The following is a 22,347-nucleotide window of genomic DNA, read 5'->3' on the forward strand; positions in this document are numbered from 1 at the left end:
GTCAGAGTTTGTTTGAATGTGAATTATCTGCAATCACGAAAGTGACAGTACAGCTGGCTGCCGGGCCCGAAGGAAATGTGTGCTCCAGATAAGGGCGAGTGTGTGTGTGTGTGTGTGTGCGCGCGTGCATGCATTTTGGGGGGCTGGGGCTGTCCTCACTTATCAAAGCAATTCCCAAGGCGGCCTCTCTGAGTGAGGCAGGGTCTGGCAGGGCCGAGCCCCTCAGAGCCCTCTGCCCCGTTGGTGCTGTGCCGGCGAAAGGCCACGCCTCTTCAATCTGGGGCACCCCTGCCGCCTGCTCCACCTCGCCCGTCCTTGGGTTCTGGTCAATGTTGGGTTGCCCCCTTTTCCTAGGGATGTGGGAGGAGAAGAGAAAATGGAGGTCTATATTGCCACCTCATTCTCCGGGTGCGGGAAACTTTCCCTCAGAGGCAGGACGCAGGCAGGTGAGGATCACCCGCCACGGCTTTTGTCCACTCATGGTGTGAGTCTCAAGAGGAGGGAAAGTGGGTAGGGTCTTTAAGTTTGGTACTGTGGCCCTCTGAGGTTGGCGACAACCTGAAAGCTACCAGCAGAGAAAAGTAGGTGGAGACAGTGCTTTTGGCCACGACCCGTTTTTGTCATCCTCGTTCCTCCTACAAAATGAAAAATGGTCCAGAGGCCATTCAGATCCCCGCACCAGTCACTGAAAAGAAACCAGTTTAGGTGTCCAAGGCTTTTTGGTCATTTACTAGACATTTATTGAGTGCCTTCGAAGCTCTGGCGTGGTGCTAGGTATTAGGTGCTAGGTGTTAGGTGTTGAGTGTTGGGTGCTAGGTGCTAGGCACTGGGTGCTGGGTGCTAGGTTCCTCATCTCAGGGAGCTCAATCTCTCATAGGAGTGGCAGATAGGTAAATAGCTATAACAAAGTGTGAGAAACCTGAAACTGAGGAAGCACAGGGGGCTGTGGAAGCCCACATTGCTGATTCCTAACCAAGAGCGGAGGAGTTGGGGCTGTGAGGATGAATGGTCTGAGAAGGCCATTTAGGGTACGGACTGATGCTGGGATGTGCAGAAAGGGAGAAAGGAGGCTCCATGCAGAGGTCACAGCCCATGCAAAGGCCTGGAAGCCAGAGAGAGCCTCATGCATTTAGGAAGTAGCGGACAATAGGCAGGGTAGCATCACTGAAGCAAAGCAGGTGGGCCAAGGTGGGGAGGGGATGAGGGCAGGGCTAGGGGCAGGGCCCCAGATGTGAAGCGCCTTTTATGCCATTCTTAGAAGTTTGGACGTCCTCATGGAGGTAAAGGGGAGCCCCAGGATGCCTCAAGGTATGTAGGAAGATGGGGCAGGAGGCCATTGCAGAGACCCAGGTAAGAAACGATGAAGGCCTGGGACAGGGCTGCGCTGCCTGAGGTGATGAGGAGGGAAAGACTCCAGGCTTATTAGGAAGTAGACGCAACAGGCTCTGGTAACTGACAGGAGTGTACATTCTGCAGAGGGCGACAGACATTCAACAACAAATGACACAATCAACTATGCAATTACCATGGTGATAAGTGTGCTGAGGGAGAGTGGAGGGTGTGGGGTTCCGTAGGGGGATCTGACCTGGCCAGAAGTGGGCGAGACCTCCTTGAAGAGGTGATGTTCAACCTGAGGCTGACGGGCGAGGAGGAAATATCCAGGTGAGGTGTTGAGTGGGGAGCACGGAACAGCATCTGAAAATGGGTTGCAGGGGGAGCACAGTGCTTGGAGGACCTAAAAGACCAGTCTGGCTAGATAGGGCAGGTCAGCTAAGGACTGCAGACCAAATTTGATTCCCTGACTGTTTTTGTAAAGGAGGTTTTGTTGGAACACAGCCACGCCCTCTGCATTCGTATTGGGTAGAGCAGCTTTTGCATCACATAGGGCCAGGGCTGGGGAGGGGAAAGGGAGGTGCCCAGGGTGCAATACTGAAGAAGACCCTCACTCCCAGGCTGGTGCACAAGCCACAGCCCGGACAGTCAGTGCCTCCCTCAATTTTGTACCTAGAGCACCTTACCTGCCTTACACAGTTCTGGCCTCTCTGCCACAATACAATGACATAATCAATGGAGGAGTTGCAACAGAGACCTTCTGGTTGCAAAGCTTAACGTATTTACTCTCTGGCTCTTTGTAGAAGCATGTAGACCCCTGGCTTAGAGCAGCATAAAGAGGGGAGCGTGTGGCCCAGGCCGAGCCCTGATACTGTTGCAGCTCTGGCCACAGCCCCTTAGCATTCAACTAGACATGCAGAAGAAACCTGTGCTAATGCCTGCGATTCTCTGTGGGACAGCGGGTGTGATGGAGTCACGGAGATGTGATGGGGGGCATTTGGGAACATGCTCATTCTGTCTTGGGCAAATGGCATGTGCTGGAGAGTTTCCGCCCTGGGAGGCAGCCCTCTACACATGATAGGTATGGGGCTGGTGGGGATAAATGCCCCAATTTCCTCACTTCTCCTTGGGGAGAATGCCACGTCCCAGAGTTGCACGGTGGGCTGACTGCCAGTTGCACACAGTGGTATCTACATGATGATGAATCCTTTACTGGCGTCTTTCCTTCCTTTCCTACTCACTTCCTCCCTCCCCTACCAGGGTTTCCTGGGATCGCCCCCTGAAACAAACTACTTGCATTTGAATCCTTGTCTCTGGGTCTGCTTTGAGGGAAGATGTGGGATATCCCTGAGCTGCCTGAGGTGGGGGCTTATGTACCAAATCCCACCATAGAGAAGGAGGCCCCTGCTGGGTGATCAGCGGAGTTTTACTTACATGAACTTTCCTCCTGCTTCCCCATCCCAGGCACCCGAGGCGTCAAGCCACAGGGTGAAGACTCAGGCTTCATCTTTTTCTCAGATTCTAAACTCACACCCCACCTTTCTGTGTGGCTGCATGGCTGGGGACTCCATCCTCCTAATGATCAGGTTCTTGTGCAAGCCTGTGACACTTTCACCTTGTGACAATGCCCAGACAACTAATAGAGTCTCTGTTTTGCCACCGGATAATTGTTTATTTCCTCTTTCAAGGGAACTGTGTAGAGGAAGAAATCAGTTGAGAAAAACAGTCTTGAGCTACTCAGGCTATCCCCATCTATTTTGTGGGGGAAGAAAACTATTCAGCATTTTCAGGTTCCTTCCTTTCAGATCTTCCCAAAGATCTCAGTGCACAACCAGGGCTGGTCTGGGACAGTTGCTGTGCTTCTGCTCTGCCCTGGCCAGCCTCTGAGGGGGTCTCCAAATTAAAATGCAAGTTTTAAGTCAGTGCTCTCCTTTCCTGGGGATTGTTGACAGCTCAAGACCACATGGGCTCATCACTGTGATCTTAAGGAAAGAAATGATCAGGGCAAATGGCTCCAAATGAAGATGAAAAAGCTTTTACAGTGACAGGGAAGAAATATTGCAGGCTGCTTGAGAAAATGCAGTTTGGGAATATAGGAGAACGTGGACCATTTTGCAAATCAAAAACAAGAGGAAAAGGGACTACAGCACGTGAAACATACTAAAGAGAAGAGCAAAAATGAGATTAGAAATAAAAGAAGGGCAGGCAAAAGGAGGAAAGAGAATGCGGGGGAGGCAAACATCAGAGAGACTGCACAAGAGCAAGAGGGAAGACAGAGAATGTTCAAACACCATCCACGATGAACACGGTTGCAGAGAGGCCAGTGTTCCACCGTCAAGAGCGCAGAAAAGCCCTTGGTGCTCCTCTGAAGAATGCAAGAGCAATCTGCAGTGTTATTGACTAGTGGAAAAATGGCTCCTCTCTGACTTAGCACAGGATGCAATTTATCTTCAGAGAGTACCCTCCATACACCCAATGTTAGTTCTTAGGCATGAGGTTGGGCAGGAGAAGGGCGGAGGAAGAGGTGTGGGAAAAGAGGCAGACAGGGAGGTGAGGGGGAATGTGGGAGGTGATGAGAAAGAAGGAAAAAGAAGAAAGGAGATGGAGAGAGTGATAGGGAGACAGGAGGGGAGAAGGAGGAACAGATAGGAGGGAGCTATGAAAGAAAGAGTAAGGTTAGAATAAAGATTTGGGAAGGAGAGGGAGGCGGAGGAAGAAAGAGGAAGGGAGGGAGCTGGAGAGCAAGATTTTGAAACTCTTAAACTAAGAAGAGCAAAGCAGCTAATATGTATGGAGCACCTGCTAGGTGTCACGCATTGAGCTAGGTGTCATTTCATTATTATTTGATCTCATGCTAACACCACCTTGGTGTTATCTCCCTCATTTTTATAGGTGAGGGATGGGTGCTCTGAGTTTCAATAACTTTGCCCAGAACCACAGCGTTGAGGCTGTAGGGAGGTTAGGATTGGAGCTCAGGGGACAAAGCCTGTTTCAGATGACACAGGTCAGCCACATCCCAGGGAAACAGGAAGGGACTGACTTTTATGGATCTCTAGCTCCCATCTAAGTGATACTGATGGAGCACAGAAGATTCCTGGGGACACTCACTGTGGCCTGTGAAAACCTGGGCCTCCAAACACCAGGGGGAGCTATCACCCTGGAAGAAACAGCCAAATGCATCTGAAAACTGGCCATATCAGTCAAAGAAGGTATTTACTAGCCTGAGTGTGAGTGTGAGTGTGTGTGTGTTGGGGGGGGGGGGAAGTGTGGGGGAGAGTAACAGCTGATTCTTTCTAGCTGATTTTCATTTTATACTGGACCTCATCTAGATGGGATCCACCCATTATTTGCAGTGGGTGCCTGTTTTGTTTCCTTTCCCCTGCTTGTTGGCTGCTGACTCATTTGCCCTGGTTACCTGGGAAGGCGGGAATGAGCCTAGGGCAGGCATAGAGCTCAGCGCATCCAAGATGATTTGGTGCGTTTTTGACAGATGAATGACCAATGGGAGGATGAACACGTGCTTGAACTGGAAGGGTTCTGGAAGAAGCATTTGATTCTTCCTCACCCAGGTCAGATCACCATCTCAAACATCACTTTAAAACAAAGAACGCCACAAAGGGAGATTTCTTTGCCTTCCTTAGACCTTCACGCTGGTCCTTACCTTCAAGGCTGTCCTCGCTGGACTTTAGCTGTTGAACCCACTGGCATCCTTTCGGAAGCCTGAGGTTGGGAGTTAGGAGAGAAGCTAATTATTCTATGGTGTCTTGGATATGCTAACAATAACAGCTCCCGTCCAAGGCTGTCATGTTATTTAATGAAATAGTGGAAGCGTGATTATAGTTTATAAACTCAAGTACTTTGACAGTGGTCACTGCTCTGAAGGTGCCACTGTTGTACAAGTGGCTATGTGAACCAGCAGTGATAGAATGTCCCAGCTGTTGGCTATGCCTTACCCTATTACCCTAGATCTATTGACTCAGATGCTTTGAAAGTTCTCGCGGGGAACTGTTCCTTGTAGACTCTGCTCAGGCAGGTTGGCGTGGCCAGGCTTGGGAATGGCTGTCACCACACACCTTGTCCTCCATCCTCACTCATCTCTGTCCTCCTGCTGGCCAGTCACCCCCACCTAGTGGTTCTCGTCTGTTTTAATGAGTTCAGAGTCATTGCCAAACTAAGTAGTCAGCTTCCATCAGTGCTATTCTTCATGTTGAGCCACAACATAAAACACTTTATTGCAATTACAAATAGCAAAATTATTTTCTGCCGAGCCTCAGCATCTGAACTTAATGGCATGCTGTAATGCCACCCTGCGCTGATGTGTGGCATATCTAATATCCATCTTTCTTAGAAATAACAGTGTTCAGAAATTAGAAGGGACTTTAGCAGTGAAATAATTAATGTGGATAACCATCATAAACGGCACAAATGGAACAAATACAGATGGTAGTGAGCCGTGATTGCTAATATGCTAACCTGTTTTGACAGAACTCTACATTTTTTCATTGGGAGGTTCATGGATAGAAGTTAAAATATCCCTTGCCTCATGACAAGAGCTTTGTCTTTCTGGGTAAGAGATTCAATGATCTCCTACCTGGGCAAGGTAGCATCACCGGAATTTGCGCTGAGAGGAGGGCTTGCATCCCAGCTCTGGGCTCTCTCACACCCTTCCATCTCCTGCAGCCACATTTCTGCCCTCTGCCTCAGGCTCAGGCAGGCGGGCCCACCCAGAACTGCAGCCAGACACCCACCTCTTCTGTGCTATGGCTCTGAGGGAGGGGCAGGGGCTCCCTGGCTGGGCTCACTCAGTGGGAAGCAGCTCTTTGAAGATCCTAGCTGCATGCAGGTGCAAGTTGCGGAACCCAACTCCAAGAGGCTGCACGGAAATGAAAAATTGCCATAGAAAGATGACTCACCAAATCACAGACACTAAGCTATTGAGACAAATATAAGGACGAGGGTGTTTGGGGGCACTGGAAACACTTGGCTGTGCCTGCTTTTGGCCCTGCTGGCCTTTAAGCAGCATTAGCAGCAGAAGGGCCATCCAAGTTTCTCTGGATGAGTCAGAGGTCCTCAGAGAAATGCTGGAGGGCAAACTGGGGAAGGAAGGTAGAAAGGATCTAGCTTTAACTTATTAAGGATAAGTGCTGTGCTTTACACATATTTTATTTACTCTCAATAATAATCATTTGCCGTGGGCATGGTAAGTTAATATTTAAGATGGGGAACCTAAGAATTAGACAATAAGTGATTTGCCAAGTTCACCAGGGGCAGGGAAGCTATGGGCAGAGCGGCTAGGGATTAGGGTCACACCACCCCGGCCAGGAGCCCCATTGATACGATACAGGGGGCCTCACTGAGTCTTTCTGCCCCAGGAAGCCAAGCCCTCCTCTCTGATGCTGAATCCCAGCCCCCTTCTCCCACTCAAGGGCGTTGATAGAAACCTTTGTCTCCTTTCCCTCCAGAGTCATCATTCCCCCTTTATTTAATCATCTTCTTACAAATATGCTGTAATATCTCTAACTTTTTTAAAATGGAGAAGCCTTTCTCATGTTTGTTTTCCTCCTGCTATACCTCCTTTGCTGTGTTCTCTTTTACAGAACTCAGAAGAGCTGTCTCTCACTGTCTCCTTCATCTAGACAAACGCATTTCCCTTCATTCCGACACTCGGTAACCCACTTATTCTGGTTTTGTCTCAAATCTAAAAATACGCCACTGAAACGGCTTCTTCCTAAATTACCAATGACTCCATGTTGACAAATCCAATGGTCAACTCCTTGTTGACACAAATGGCCAGCTCTTCTGTTTGAACGCCTTCTTCTCTTAGCCTCTGGGAGAGCAGTCTCTTACGGGTCTACTCTTACTCACAGCTACTCCTTCTCCATCTCCTTTGCTAGTTCCTCCCCATCTCTATTATTCCCAAATGTTGGAGGACCTCAGGGCTTCTCCGAGCTGTCTACATTCACTGCCTAGGTGATCTTACTTAGTCCCATGGCTTTCATTCCACCCGCATGCTGAAGTCTACTTCCTTGCTGGGCATTTCCATTTGAACATCTCTTAGGTTTCTAAAATGTAACTCATCCACAGCCAACTCCTGCCTTCACCACACAGCCCCTCCCGCTAGATCCTGTCAAAATCATCCCTATCTCAGCCAATGGCAACTTATCCTTCCTTTTGCGACTTCTAAGGCCACAACCTTAGAAGTCATCCCTGATGCCTTTCTCTAATACTTTATCTTTCAATCTTTTATCCAGAAAATGACCACTTCTTACAACCTCTGCTGCCCCCACCCTGGTCCAAGACAGCATCACCTTGCATCTGTTGAGGCTCCTGAGAGACGCCCTGCTTCTTCCCTGCTTCAGCCTCTTCTTAACCCAGTGGCCACAGCCATCCTTACGCAATGTAGCAATGTCAGTTGGATCTGATCGCTCCTCTGTCCAAACTTCTGATGGCTTAGGGTCAGGGTGTGGTCCCTCTGCCTCTGATTTCAGCTCCTACTCATCCCCCTTTGACTCATCTGCTTCAGCTGAACTAACCTCCTTTCTCAAGCCAACCTGCAGGCTCCCTCTTCAGCTTCTTGGTCCTTACTATTTTTCCTGCCTCTTGACTTTGTCTTATGTTTCTTCATTGAACTTATTGCCTGACACAGCATATATTTATTTGTAAATTGTCTGAGCTCCCACTTGAATGTAAACTCTTTGAGGGCAGGGGCTTAATGTGTTTGTCCACTACTGTATCTCCAGTGCTCAAAATAGTAGGTGCCAAATAAATATTTGCTGAGGGGATGAATTTAGACCTGGTGAGACTCTGCAGTCCTTGCCTGTCCCACCAGCCCTCACGGCAGTGTTTGCATGCAGGAGATGCCATGTTTGCATGGTGGGGCTGTATCTGCCTGGCTCCCTAGTGATATGAAGTTCTAAATTCCAATGAAATCTCAAATCCCTCAAAGAAAGATTTTACCACTCTGGTTAAAAATCAGACCTAGAGGAAATATGCTAGATTGCAGGGTGTATCTAAGGAAATAAAAGCATTAGGTGGGTGAAAAATTGCAAAAAACAAAATTACTTTCAACTTAGATCTGAGGAGTTTAAATTAGTTCACTCCCATGCCCAGTGTAGGTGAAGACATTCACCACCCAAACACAGACACTCTTGAGAGCGAATGAGAGTTATAATTATCATAGTTATGTTAGGGCTGCAGGCACAAGCCAAGACTGTCCTAGGCAAACCAGTTATGATCACCCTCATGAGAGAGAAAGGAATTGGCTTGTGGCTGGGCCAGGGCACATGCAAATGACGCTGTAGGGCTGGCATTGAAGAGGAAGCCTGGGAGAAGGTGGGAGAAGATAGCGAGGGGACCTGGAGGAGAGGAGTGTCCAGGAAAGGGCAGAGAGCAGGAAGATCTGGAGTCATACATTAAAGGGCAGGGGCAGGGAACAATCTGGGAGAAAGGTCTATTTCATGTGCTTGAGAGAGGGGAGAGAGAGAAACTGGGATTCCTAGGGAAGAAGCTAATTGGGCACCAGCCGAGCTGGCAAGGGAGGGAGCCCTGAAATGAGAACAATTTTGGCTGAGAGCCAAAGTGTTTTCTGAGACAGACTGAATGAGAAACAACATGGTGATTTGGAAAGAACTTTGAGACTAGATTGACTTAGTCTCAAATTCTGGTGCTCATTCGCTTTGACTGTGGGGATGACACTGCTTGTGCTTAGCCTCAGTTTCCACAAGACAGCACCTTCCTTAAAGAATCATGAGGCCGGGCATGGTGGCTCATGCCTGTAGTCCCAGCACTTTGGGAGGCCGAGGTGGATGGATCATCTGAGGTCGGGAGTTCGAGACCAGCTTGACCAACATGGAGAAACCCCGTCTCTATTAAAAATACAAAATTAGCTGGGTATAGTGGTGCATGCCTATAATCCTAGCTACTCGGGAGGCTGAGGCAGGAGAATCGCTTGAACACAGGAGGCAGAGGTTGTGGTGAGCTGAGATGCGCCTTTGCACTCCAGCCTGGGCAACAAGAGTAAAACTCCGTCTCAAAAAAAAAAAAAAAAATAGAATCATGAGGAATAAATAAGATAACACATGCAAGACATCTAACACAGTGCATGGCACAGAGTAGGTGCCTCTCTGGCAATAGCAAAGAAGCCTGCTCAAGAGGACAGAGATTGAAGGCCAAGGCTTCATTTTGGATTTGCAGAGAGAAGTCAGGGGATGAGCTTGAGCCCCCATAACTGCGCTCTCCCCTAGGGTCTGGCAAGGAGGCCTTGATACTGAAGGAAGGATGATAACAGGGTGCGTTGGAGGGACAGCTGCAGCTTCACACCTGTGAAGAGCCATCTGGGTCACCAGCACGGTCCCTGACATAGGACAGCTCCATGTGGCTGATACTGGGATGGTGCCTCACAGTCAAAAAGCCTCACAGTCCAAAAGCCTTTTTGTGTTCCAGAACCATTTGTGAGTGCTCTGGTCAGAAGCGAAGGGTTCCCATGGAAGTCCTTCCCTGTGAACAATGTCAGGACCCCTTAGCATGGCAGTCAAGGCTCCCAATGATATGTCATAATTTCCACTTCCAGCCTTGTCTTCTGTCTGTAACTCTACTGTATATACCTCATGATCCTGCCAAACTGTTCCTCAAGCACCTGCTGTCACTTCTCTCCTCCATCCCAATCTATCTGCCTGAAAACATCCTGTTTCCAGTCATCAGCCCTTGGCTGACACTTGAACATGGCAGAGTCATTCCACCCCCAGGGGTCTGGACTAGCTGTTCCCTCTTCCCAAAAGGCCCTTCTCCTGGCCATCTGCATGGTTCACTCCCTCACTTCCTACAGGAAGTCTCATTCACCTTTTGGGGATTTTTTTCCCTACTGAAATTTGAAGCTCTTTCTCCAACATTTCTTGTATGTATTTATTTATTCCTGATTTATGTTTTCTGTTTAGCTCTTCTGACTATCTAACTTACACCATATCAGGGGTTGGCAAACGATGGCCCTTGGGGCCAAATTCAGTCCACTCCCTGTTTTTGTAAATAAAGTTTTATTAGAACACAGACATGCTTACTCATTTATGTATTGTCTATGACTACTTTCATGCCACAATGGCAAAACTGAGTAGTTGCAAAAAAGACCACAAGATCTGTAAAGACTGGAATGTTTACTGACTAGTGATTAGCCTTTTCCAGGAAAAATGTGCTGAGCTGTGCTCTAACTCATGCATGTCATGTACTTTATGTCTTCCCCACTAGAATGTAAGCTCCGTGTGGACAAGGATTTTTGTCTGTCTTCTGAATTACTGCATTCCCCGTTATCTGGGAAAACAACTACTCAGTACATATCTGTTGGATGAATGAATGAATGTTGAAAATTCTATTCATTGGCAAGGCCTAGCTCAAATATCACTTTTCAGGAAGCACTCCTTTGCATCATGGTGATTTCCGCACGAAATCTCATTTCTCTTACTAGATGGTAAGCTTCAAGCGTCACCTCTATCATGAAACTATCCTTTGTCTCCCACGGTGGAATTGGCCTTTCTTCATCTATTCCTCTTACAGTCTTCTGTGGCTGCACATAGTGTACGGTAGGTATTGCGGTATTTGACACATGTTGGACTCTCCACTTGACTGAGATTAAGTGGGTAGGGACTGTGGTTTGTTCGTCTCCGTCCCAGGCATCTATCTCAGAGCCTGCAGCCCTGACACATTGCAGGTACTTAGCATACAGAGCTGGATTTCCCCCACTGAAACCTCCACAGCCCTCCTAGCAGAGACAGACACACTTTTAGTAGGGGCTAAGCTATGTTTGTGGAGTAGAATGAAAGGCAAAGGGAACAGTGCTGAGCCAGAGAACACAGCATTAGTGGGAGCTGTGGAGAGGAGGCTAGAAATAGGCAAAGAAGGGAGGGGACAGGCTCTGTTTCATTTCACTCTACCATAAAGAGGTAACAATTTAAAAAAATCAACTCTCCTCAGCCTCCAGACACACATGCTCTGTGGCATCATTAAGCAGCTGGTGCCAACATTTACCTCACACCTCCCTTAGTAGGCAAGAAAGCATTTCCTAAACCCTTCTCCTCTATGCTTTTAAAATAAAGGCCTTAGTGGATCTCAACTTCAGCAAACAGAACATTTTCTACTTTTCTATACTGTAAGATTTTTGAAAGCAGTGACTGTGTCATTCTTTTATATTCCTAGTACCTAGACCATGATGACATAATAATAGATGCAGAATTAATTTTCATTGAGTTACATAAATGATACAATATGAAAAGAGAAGGGAAGAAGGAAAGATGGAAGGAAAAGACTTGCACAGATGCTCTTTGTGACTCAGAACTTTGGAAAAAGTCCAACGAGCAACAAAATACTCAAAATACTTTAAATGAAGGTAAAAACCATCATTGTTTTCTCTCTGCCTAGGGTTTTTAGGAATTTTCTTCTATTCAAGATCATAATTGCAGAAAACTAGACCAATGATCTGATTGCTTTCATAAGCTCCATGATGATTAAAAGAAGTGTAGGCAGCTCCAAGGCCACACATGAAAAGAGAAATGCTGAGGCTGTTCCATTTGAGCCTTTTTGTCTTGCTTGGCTCTTTGTCAAAACCAAGTCTCCTTCTGGAGATAGAGATGCAGATCACCACCTACCCCAACTGTTCCCACTTGACTTAAGAGACAATGTGGGGAAGAACATCACCCCCATTTCAACCTTCAGAGGCAGGTTGCTTCTGCCACGGCAAGGAGAAGATCACTTTCTGTGTAAGATTTCTGATTCCTGTCTCCTGCAGGTTGGTTCATTTTCTTTCAAACACCTGTGCTGTAATATGCTAACCTGATCCTAAGACAGGCCCCAACTAGTACACACGCAGATCCATGCACACCCACACACATGCACATGCAGACTTATTGTCATAGCTTGTATCTCTTATGGACAAGATGCAGAGTGAGTGAGCCAGCAGATGGACACCCTGGAGGTTCGGAGCCATGTCACTCCCTATCAGCCCTCTCCAAACATCCAGGCAGGATCTGGGAGGGACTGCCCTTGAGATGGGTGGGCTCCATGAATTTCCAGCTGAAGCAACACGTTTCTGTCCCCAAGGGATGAAGAAGTTTCTTCAGCTGCTCTGTAGATATGTCATGTCGAGATTGAATTCAGGTATAGTTTTAGCTGCCTTCCTTCTTGAAACTTCCCTCTCCCCGTTTGAATTCCAATGAGGCATCTTTTGAATGCTGAGATTGGGAAGCAAGACTGAGACCTGCTTATGGGCCAAGGGTTCTTAGTATTAGATAAGAGTCAGGATTATTAGACCTGCCTATGGGCCAAGGGTTCTTACTAATAGATTTTGAATAACCATAAAAACAACTTTCCTGCATTCCTCTTTATCATAGATCAACTTGTCAGTTAGTCATTCACTTAATGAGTATTTATTGTACCTTGACTTTGTGTCAGGTAGTGTGCTAGGTGCAGGAGTAGATATTCTTATTTCTGTTCTTCAGATGAAGAGACAGAGGTTCAGAGAGGTGAGGGGTTTCAGTGGAAAGTGGCCGAGTCAGGAATCAAAAGCCTGTCTTCTGGTGCCTGCTTAATGGGGTTTTAACCAATGTGGGTATTAGGTGAGAGGTGGCCAGGAGAAGGCAGGACATTAGGGGTTATTTCTTAAGCCTGTGGGTAACCACTGAGGCAGCAGGCCAGAAAGTCACGTGACCCAGTGTGATGTATGGGAGAGGACAGCGTGGTGCCTCGTATGCCATGAAGAATTAATCTCAAGGAGATGCTAGTGAGCTCCAGAGACTTAGCATCAGTGCCAAGAGATCAAAGATATGATATCTCTGGCAGAGTGCGCTATCAGGAGCGATCAAAGCAAAAAAAAGGGTTCATTTCAGTGCCCTGTGCATTAGTTGCCTGACTTGCTGACTCTGGGCACAAAGGAAGCAGTCATGGTTTGGAAATGGTGCTAACACCCGCATGGGCATTTCTTTCTTGACATCTCCATACATCTCATTGTTGCCTGTCCATAAACAAAAACATTATCATGCCCATGGGTTTGCCCCCGCTCATCCCCAAGCTGGCTGTCCCCGTTTTCTTCTGAGTGTGTTTGTGTGCTCAGTGGCTTTCCTGCCTTCCTTGGATGATGGTGGTAGAGGCCGTCCTTGTCTGGAGGAGGCCTGTCAGGGTGCACTGCTGCAGGCTGGACCCTGAGCCCGCTCTGCCCTCGCTGCAAGGCTGCTGCTGGGGTGGATGTGCGGGGCTGGTGGAGCTCTGTGGCCTGGGTCCAGTCTGCACAAAGGCAGGGCCAGGGACTACAGAGAGCATGGGGGGAGGCATCAGGATTGGCCACCAACTCACTGAGGGACTTTGTCAAGTTGCTTCCCCTCGCTGAGTCTCAGTTTCCTTATCTGTAAATCAGGCAGTTGGTCTGTGTCAGTAACTTTCACCCCCAGTTTCTCTGGTGATGTAAGTTTTCCAATCAAATTATAATAACCCAAATAGAGGAGATGCCCCATAAATACTTCTTGAATGAATCAAAGCAAATCTATAAAGATAAGCATGGAAACATGTGGACTGCAGTGGACAGGGCCCTGGAGAACGCCCTTCTGAGTGCCCTCCCTCCATTCTAACCCCCTGTGTCCCGAAGTGGGTCTCTAAGGCCCTTCTGTGGAACCCTAAGGCTCCACTGAACCCAGCTTGACAACCACAAATATGGACTTTCTTGTTTCTTAAAGCTCTGACATTCAGTGATTCTAGGGGAACTATTAAGTCTCAAATCCCTTACAAATTAATGAAAGATCTCTGACATATTTTCTAGAATTTTTCCTCAGAAATTTCCCTGGACTTCTCTGGGGCTATCCTGTTGGCTTTATGAAAAAGTCTGAACTACACAAGATGCCTCCTTTTTTTCTTTTTAGATGGAGTCTCCCTCTGTTGCCCAGGCTGGAGGGCGGTGGCATGACCTTGGCTCACTGCAACCTCCTCCTCCTGGGTTCAAGCGATTCTCCTGCCTCAGCTTCCTGAGTAGCTGAGATTACAGGCATGCACCGCCACGCCTGGCTAAATTTTGTATTTTTAGTAGAGTTGGGGTTTCGCCATGTTGGCCAGGCTGGTTTCAAACTCCTGACCTCAAGTGATCTGCCCACCTCGGCCTCCCAAAGTGCTAGGATAACAGGTGTGAGCCATGTGAGCCACTGCGCCCAGCCACAAGATGCCTCTTTATGAGAGGATCCAGTCTACCTTTCCAGCTGTTTTTTCCCACTCCTATCATTTCCCTTCTCCTAGCAAAACTCTGTATTGGCCTACACATGCCAATGTGTTGAGCATGCCATGCGTTCTTGTGCCCTGCATCTTTGCTTTTGCCATTCCTTGTGCTATTGTTTTTCCACTTTCTTCCTGCAAAACTCCTATTCATCCTCTAAGACCTGGCTGTGATGTCCTGGCTCTTGAACGGTTCTACCTCTCACTCACTCACACAGGGAGGTCAGCTGCTTCTTTCTCTGAGCCGCCTTACCCTCTGGGACACGCCTCCAGCACAGATTTCCGCGTAGCCTACCTTCACTCATCTAGATACATCATCTTCCCTGGCAGATGGAGTGCTTCTGAAAGGCAGAGACTTAGCTTTGAATTCCCAGTGCCTAGCATGGAGCCTGGTCCATAAAAACCACTCCATCCATGTTCATGAAATGACTGAGAAACAGCAAGGGCTCCTGTGCACTTGGGTGTGGCTCCAGAAGAGGCAGCTTCTGTGGCTATTCCCCTTGGAGGCCGGCTGGCCACTCTCCCTGCACAGAGCAGGCTGGCTTCGCCATCACAGGCTGCTTCTCAGAAGCTCAGCTACCTCTCCTTCCTCACCTCCCAGACCCCTCGGAAAGTGTTCCCCACCAGAAATGTCTTTTTGGTGGCCTCAACCTGAGAAGGAAGGCTACAGAGCTTACAGATTTAAACTTAAATGCATAAACAATTCACAGTGGTCCCCTGGCTTAGGCTGAATCTCAACTTGGAGGACTTGGTGTCCATGGTAAGTCTGGAGGCCTGAAGGTGGGAGGCGCTCAGCTGTCTGCAGCAGCTGTACCCTGCACCCTGCCCAGCAGGCATTTCCCTGCTACATGGCTCTCCTCCCAGCTCCCTCGGGGGGGTCTGGCCCTCCCACCCTGGGTGAGCTGCATTTTTGTGGTCCTCCTTCTTCTAATCTCTCTGCCTGCCTCACAAAGTGGAGAATTCGATTTTCTTCCCAAAGAAAATCAGATTTGACTTAGCTCCATCCATTTTCACAATTGCTACGGAAACGCTGTCTCTGTGAGGACAAAAGAACTAAACGAAGGACTTTCAGTGGGGGAATGAGCACGTGGACACAACTGTGCCTCAGTGAGAATCCCTTGCAGACCTGGGAGAGACATCTGCAGGCAGTGGGATGCGGATCAGAAGCCCTGGGTCCCCAGAGTCCAATGATGAGGAGACCCGGAGGGAAGGAATTGGCTTGAAGTAGGGCTGTCTCGGGGGTGAGCATTTCTCCCGCAGCCCCACACCCAGCAGCTCTGAGAGAAGCCAGAGCCTCCTGATGCACCTGGCATGACACTGGGACAAAGGCAATCCATTATGTGACTGGTATATCAGAGTCACAGAGGGGCTGGGTGCAGCAGGGTAAAGAGGCTGCAAGGTCACAGATGGACAAGGTGTGGCTGTCACAGCTGTGGTGGCTGGCCCCATGAAATAATTGGGACACCAGGAGGGGCAGGGTCAGAGGACCTCTAAATAGCTCTGTAGTCTTGGGTGAGTCACTTGAAGCCCCCAAGCCTCAGCTTTCCCATCTGCAGACCAGGGAGAAATATCACCTACCTGGTGGGGTGTCCTGGGGCTCAGTGTTCTCCCGTGGCATGCTGCACATGCCTCTACTGTGCATGAGAGTGTGTGTCCCACCTCCCACCGTGTTAAAGCATGTTGACCATGGGTGTGCTTTCCCACAGGAGTGTAGGCTTCCAGAGCAGGAAGGGGTGCGTCTTACTCACTGCTTTATTCCCAGGGCCAAGCACCCTGCCTGGCCCCTGCGGAGCTCAGGGTGTCTGATCACCTGAGTGAGATGATGTTGGTTAGAGTGCTTGCCACCTGCTGCACACAGGAATTAGCTTCCAGGCTGAAGTGGGGCCAGTGTAGGGCCCACAGGAACCTGGACCACCTTGACTCTTTGTATAGGGAGGGGAAAGGAGGCAGGAGAAGCCCTGAGTACTTGTCAGTGGAGTGAAGCCTGTTAAGCTTTAAGCGGGAGGATTCAGTTCAGTAAGTAACTTCGTCCCCTGGGAGGGCCCCCAGGTCCCTTCTGTGTTGGCTCCATGGCCTCTCTTCTCTCCTGCATTAATTCAAGTGAGGAAGGCCTGAGCTTGCCTCCCTGAATTCCCTGCACCCCACAGACGCTGCCCCATTCTCAAGGTGCCATGTGTAATCAGGAAGCAGACGCTAGCTCCAAAGCTTTCGGGGCAGAGGGAGGAGGGCAATGGCTGGGCAGTGGGCTGTCCTGTTGCTGAGGAGACCTTGAGGAGGAGGCTTTTGGGGCAGGCATGCCTGTTGCAGGCTTGGAGTGGGCCCTGGGGAGGGGCAGTACCCTCTAGGCCAGAAAACACAACTGGGCCATCTTCCCTCATCTCTAGCAGAATGGCTGCCTCCTTAGTCCAGACTGAGTCCTGTGGAATGTGTGGTTGGAGCAAAAAGATGAAGAGTGAGTCTAAGAGGTCATGAAGAAGGACAGACCCAGTAGACTGTGGCTCAGCCTTTCTTGGGAAGCAGACTTCTAAGAAACAAGCACGCTGGCTTAACAACAAATCTAATTCTTTTAGGGAAAAGAGGTAGTGCATGGATAAAATGTGGAAAGATATAGAAGAAGAAACAGGAAGTGGAGCCTGGTGAGGAACAAAAGGTGTCACAAGGCTCATTTTAGGGACATATTGCAGGAGAGACAGGAAATTGAAATTGGCGCCATTCTTCTAGATTGCCCAGAGTCCTCCAGAGTCACAGGGGGAGTCAAAGGGTCAATAGGTGCTTCTCCTTTGCAGCCTCAGGGAGTGATTACCTGCAATATGCCAGGGTACTGTCCCTGTAAACAATGAGGCTGGAAGGCAAGAAAGGAGCAGCTCCCTGGCATTTTGCTGCTGGAGCACGGAAGCAGTGCTGGCCAGGAGCTCACAGGTGGGTGTGAACCTGGGGACCCTCCGTAGATACTCATGGGGCCCCGGGCACTCCACTGGACAGGTGAAAAGCTCACAGCTCAGGGTCCCCTGCTATTTTATGAGCTTGGGAGGTTTCTGTGTCCAGAAGCACAATGGAGGGAGCCCCTGATCATAATCACTAAGAGCACACCATGTTTGCTGCTTTTAACTGTTTCCAAATCCTTCTAGTTCATAGGCTCCTCTGCTCCTAAACCAGTCCTTTGAGGTATCTGGCAGACAGTTTTCTGCCCTTCCCTTCCTTGACATTTCTGTGACATTTGGCTCTGTGACGGCTTCCTTCTTCAGGAAACTCTTTTGTTGTCTTATTTCTGGGACACCCTCCTCCGGAGTTTCCATTCCCTCTCAGTCCCCGTCCTGACTCTCATTCCTGTCCCCAGCCACTTAAATGTTGATGTCCCTAGGTTCTATCCCCAGCCGTCTTCTCATTCAGAATTCCCCTCCTCAAAGTAGATTCATCACTCCCAGAGACATTTACATCACGTCTCCACTTAGCCCTTGGCCCTGGCTCTCAGCCCCGCAGAACCCACTGCCGACTAGCCCCATCCACATGGGGGCCCACAGGCCCCTTGAGTGTGACACGTCCAAATGAGTTACTCACCTTCTCCTCCCTCTTCTCATCATCTCTGCACCATCAACATCCCCTAATTGTCCACCAGAAATCAGGGAACAATCCTGGCCTCCACCCTCTCCTCACCCTATACGTCTGGTCAATCATGCCTTCCTCTCAACCTGACTCCTACAGGTATCTTCAACCTGTGCCCATTCTCGCAGCTCTGAGCTTATTCCATACTACATAAGTTTGCTTAGACTGGTGGTTCTCCACCATGGGTGATTTTTGTCTTCCCCACCTAGGGGACATTTGGCAACGTCCAGGGACAATTTCTGATGGTCACAACGAAGTGGTTGCTACTAGCATCAAGTGGGTAGAGGCCAGGGATGGAGCTGAACACGATACAATGCACCAGGCGGCCCCTGCAACCAAGAACCAAAATGGCGGTAGTCCCCAGGTAAAGAAAACCTGGCTTACAACATGCAATACTTTTCTTTTTCTTTTTTTTTGTTTTTGAGATTGAGTCTTGCTCTGTCACCCAGGCTGGAGTGCAGTGGTGCCATCTCGGCTCACTGCAACCTCCGCCTCCCAGGTTCACGCCATTCTCCTGCCTCAGCCTCCCGAGTAGCTGGGACTACAGGCACCTGCCACCACGCCTGGCTAATTTTTTTATATTTTTAGTAGAGATGGGGTTTCACTGTGTTAGGCAGGATGGTCTCCATCTCCTGACCTCGTGATCCACCCGTCTCGGCCTCCCAAAGTGCTGGGATTACAGGCGTGAGCCACCGCGCCCAGCCAACATGCAATACTTTTCTAACTGGTGTCTCTGACAATCAGGTTCCCCTTCAAGCCACTCTCTTTGCTGCCTCCTGCGAGAATGCTTAGCTTACAAATGAATCTGTCTGCATGTCTCCATTTCCTAACTTCTCAGCATAGTTTACAAAGCTCCCTATGATCTGGCCCTGCCCAACTCTCCAGACCCACCTTCCATTTCTCCTGTTAGTCCATGCCCCAGCAGTACTAGATAATCTGCCGTTCTCTGAGTAAATCATGTTCTTCCATACCTCTGGGCCACTGCCTAGGTCTCAAATGACCCTATCCCAGGGTCCATCCCGCTGTGTCCACTGTTTGCATTGGGTCAGAGCTTACTTAGTCCTTCAAGACTCAGCCCGAATACCATTTCCTGGACAAAGCTTTCTCTTGGCTATGCTTCTACCACAGCTTGTACGTATTCTCATGTCTACCTTTCACATTTCTCTTTCTGCAGTCTTCTTGAGGTCACAGATGTGATTTTATTTATCTTTACAGACCCAATGCCTAGCGCCATGTCTGGTGAGTGAATGCACACAGGAAGAAAGCTTTGCCAAAATTTGCACACCTCGTTGCTGGAAGGACTAGGACTGGCATTCAGGTCTTTGGACTCCCAAGCTATGCTCACCTCATCAGACCTGATGGCTCTAAGTAGGTCAGTTTTAGGTCCTGAGCTACTTGATCCATCTGGCTCCCAGTTAGAGAACAACAAGAAACTAATCACATGTGGTGGCTGCTGCCTCCGTAAGTGCTTCCATTTATTCACAAGCTGAAAGACAAAAGCTTGGCCCCCCAGCATATGCTGGATCAAAAGCAAGGAACAAAAAGGATTGTAAAAGAAAGACGCTGGAAATAGTAGCTACTTTGATGCAGGCAGCTCTTTGAGGAAGCAGCTGAGGACTGTGCCCCCAGCAGCAAAGAGAGAGAGAAGTCACTGCCAGAGGGTGAAGGAAATCACTGCAGGAAGGGTGGGACCTCACTGGCTTCTCTGCTGGTTTCCAGCGAGTGCCAGGAATGGGGGAGGGGTGTCTCATTAATCTCACCTCCTTGCTGCCCTGCCTGGGGTCTTTACAATCTGCTCCATTTGGAGACTAAGGATTCCTACAGGAATGGCAATCTGAGCCAGAGATTTAGGAAGGAGGTTTATAAGTAATGGCTAGAGCGATAGAGTAATTAATAGGAAACTATTATTAACAATACAGTGATTTCATAATGATTCCGCAGTTTATAATACAAATGTATACATCATTTGATGAATTATTGTATTGAGCCCGAGGATGCAGGAATGGCCAGATTCTGTCCTTGAAATAGCCACCCCTTCTCATGAGGACCCCTGAGAAAATATAGTAAGCACACAAAGAAAGGAAAGCAAAGCAATGCTTCATTGTTAGCTGGACTTGTGATCAAAACCCTAGCGCTCTCTGGTCAACTGGACTAGATGACGTTTTCTACTAAGCAAGTTAGGACTAAACAGCTCATAACAACAGCCAATCCAATATACCTGCTTGTCTCGGGAAAGTGTAGTCAGCTGCAGAGAGACAGTGAGAGAGTGACTGTTTCCTTTGAATTCCTGCTCTCTGGAGTTGACTTGGGCAGCCTGGCTCTGAACCAGGACACCATCTCTGGGTTGGTGGCCATCTGAGAAAACATGGAGAAAAGACACTTTGAGGAAGGTAACCTCGTAATGCTGAGAGGAAGCTTATGCCCAAGGAGACTCCAAGGAGAATTTGGGATCTAACCCCAGAGCACTGCAGAGTGGAAAAGGCCAGGGGGAACCCCTTATCTTACCAGAAAACCAAGCAAAGGAGATAGCAAGAGGCTGGACTGAAGTTAAAGAATAATGCTTAAGTGTCTTGTTTGGGACTCAAAGGGCTTGCCCTCCCATTGTATTCACAGATACAGCAAAAGACTTTGGTGAAATGCAATGTGGAAGGAGGAAGATTGGTTCCCATTGTGAATAAGGAAAAAATGAGTCCTGGGGTTCTGAAGGCAGCTTGAGATATTTTGAGCATTTCACCTCTGAAGTAAGAGTGCAACCCTCCAATTCAAAAGTGTAATTTCTAGTCCCTTTGTTGAAAAGTCAGTTATGAAACTTTACAGTTTCACTTTTGGCTTTCGGCTGAACTTTTCAGAGCCTTTAAGGCAAGGTGGGTAAGTATTTTTAGAGATGGTAACGAGGCCTGGGGGCTATGCACACAGCTGGAGCTCAGCAGATGTCTCAGAGGAGAAAGATGAGAACCTCAGTCATGGTCAAGACCCCTCTCCGAATGGCTTCTCATCCCTCAGACCCACAAGAGAGGTGCATCGTAAGCTCAAGACACCTGAGACACCTTAATTCTCTTCCCCAGCCCTCTCTCTGTCCCTTGAAAGGATGCAATGCGCTGGGGAGATGAAACCAGTTTGCATCTTAGGAAGGATCTGGATTGTTTTCCTTCTTTCTCTGAGCTGTCACTTGCTATAAAAGCGATCATTGATATTCAGCCATTATGCCATTATACTTCCATAATCATTAATATTCTTAAAAGGCTCTTGAAACACATTTATACAAGGCTACATGATCAGTTCCTACATTTACTTTCAATTTAAATAACAGTTTTAGCCAGGGTTTTGATGTGCTGTTTACTTTAATTACCATCCTGCCCCTTTCTGTGTCTTGACACAGTGTCATTTAATATTTTATGAATTTCCCTTAGCCCTTTTTTTCCCTGATATGTGTGATTTGAACGGGTTGCTGCTTTTTTAGAAAAAAATTTGTAGTTTTAACTTTTCTGAGACTTGCTGTAAACAAGATGTGTCATGCCTATGGATTCTCTTCCCCCAGTGATAATGGGAGGAAATAAATAAAACAGCAGACAGCTGCTTTACCCAGATGGCACAGGGATGCCAGGGGGTTCTGGCCCTGCTGCAGGCACAGAGTGACAGGCCAGCAACTTCAGGTGAGGTGGGAAGCAGCCCAGAAGAGGTCAGCGTCTGCCTCTCAAGGTGTGGGCTGTCAGCATGAGGATCACCTGGGAGCCCCACTCCAGAACTACTGAGGCAGAAGCTGCATTAGAACAAGATCCCTAGGTGGTTTGTTTGAACACTGGAGTTTGGGAAGCACTGCACTAATGGAAATCAATTAGTGGATGTAAAGAAAATAGGCATTTCACGGCTGTTCTCTCCCAAGTCCCATGCTTTCATCAGAAAAAAAGCTCTACTTTTGGGATCTATGGCAGGTTCTTGGGGTCATTTATAAATAAGTGCTATACTTTAAATACTGTGTTCATGATCTGCTTCAAGATTTCCCCCTCTGTTTTTTCAGTGATCCATTTGTTTACTTAAGAAATATTTGGCCAGGCGCGGTGGCTCATGCATGTAATCCCAGCACTTTGCGTGGCTGAGGTGGGTGGATCACCTGAGGTCAGGAGTTCGAGACCAGCCTGACCAACATGGAGAAACCCTGTCTCTACGAAAAATACAAAA

General features: G+C 48.4%; 1 protein-coding gene and 1 long non-coding RNA gene across 18 annotated transcripts in view, besides 3 other annotated features; one reads left to right on the plus strand and one right to left on the minus strand.

Annotated features, from left to right (window-relative positions):
- The window catches only part of KIRREL3 (kirre like nephrin family adhesion molecule 3), a 580,037-nt gene that overhangs the window by 288,809 nt on the left and 268,881 nt on the right, over window positions 1-22,347 (minus strand). The gene's annotated exons all lie outside the window — the stretch shown is intronic.
- Window positions 4,328-4,622: an enhancer, noted in NCBI's record as "tiled region #13423; HepG2 Activating non-DNase unmatched - State 13:Ctcf, and K562 Activating DNase matched - State 12:CtcfO". NCBI's record gives its function as "activates a minimal TATA promoter and a strong SV40 promoter by Sharpr-MPRA in HepG2 and K562 cells {active_cell/tissue: HepG2 | K562}" and the evidence as "EXISTENCE:reporter gene assay evidence [ECO:0000049][PMID:27701403]".
- Window positions 16,004-18,450, plus strand: LOC105369561 (uncharacterized). The gene is made up of 3 exons (XR_007062941.1): window positions 16,004-16,077; window positions 17,352-17,484; window positions 18,378-18,450. It is a non-coding gene; the product is annotated as an uncharacterized LOC105369561 (long non-coding RNA).
- Window positions 19,409-19,944: an enhancer, noted in NCBI's record as "NANOG hESC enhancer chr11:126601470-126602005 (GRCh37/hg19 assembly coordinates)". NCBI's record gives its function as "activates a minimal SCP1, AML or CMV promoter by ChIP-STARR-seq in naive H9 embryonic stem cells {active_cell/tissue: H9 hESC(naive)}" and the evidence as "EXISTENCE:reporter gene assay evidence [ECO:0000049][PMID:30033119]".
- Window positions 20,688-20,737: an enhancer, noted in NCBI's record as "active region_5711". NCBI's record gives its function as "activates an Ori minimal core promoter by ATAC-STARR-seq in GM12878 lymphoblastoid cells {active_cell/tissue: GM12878}" and the evidence as "EXISTENCE:reporter gene assay evidence [ECO:0000049][PMID:35858748]".

This window comes from Homo sapiens, chromosome 11, assembly GCF_000001405.40.
Source record: "Homo sapiens chromosome 11, GRCh38.p14 Primary Assembly".
Classification (NCBI taxonomy): domain Eukaryota; kingdom Metazoa; phylum Chordata; class Mammalia; order Primates; family Hominidae; genus Homo; species Homo sapiens.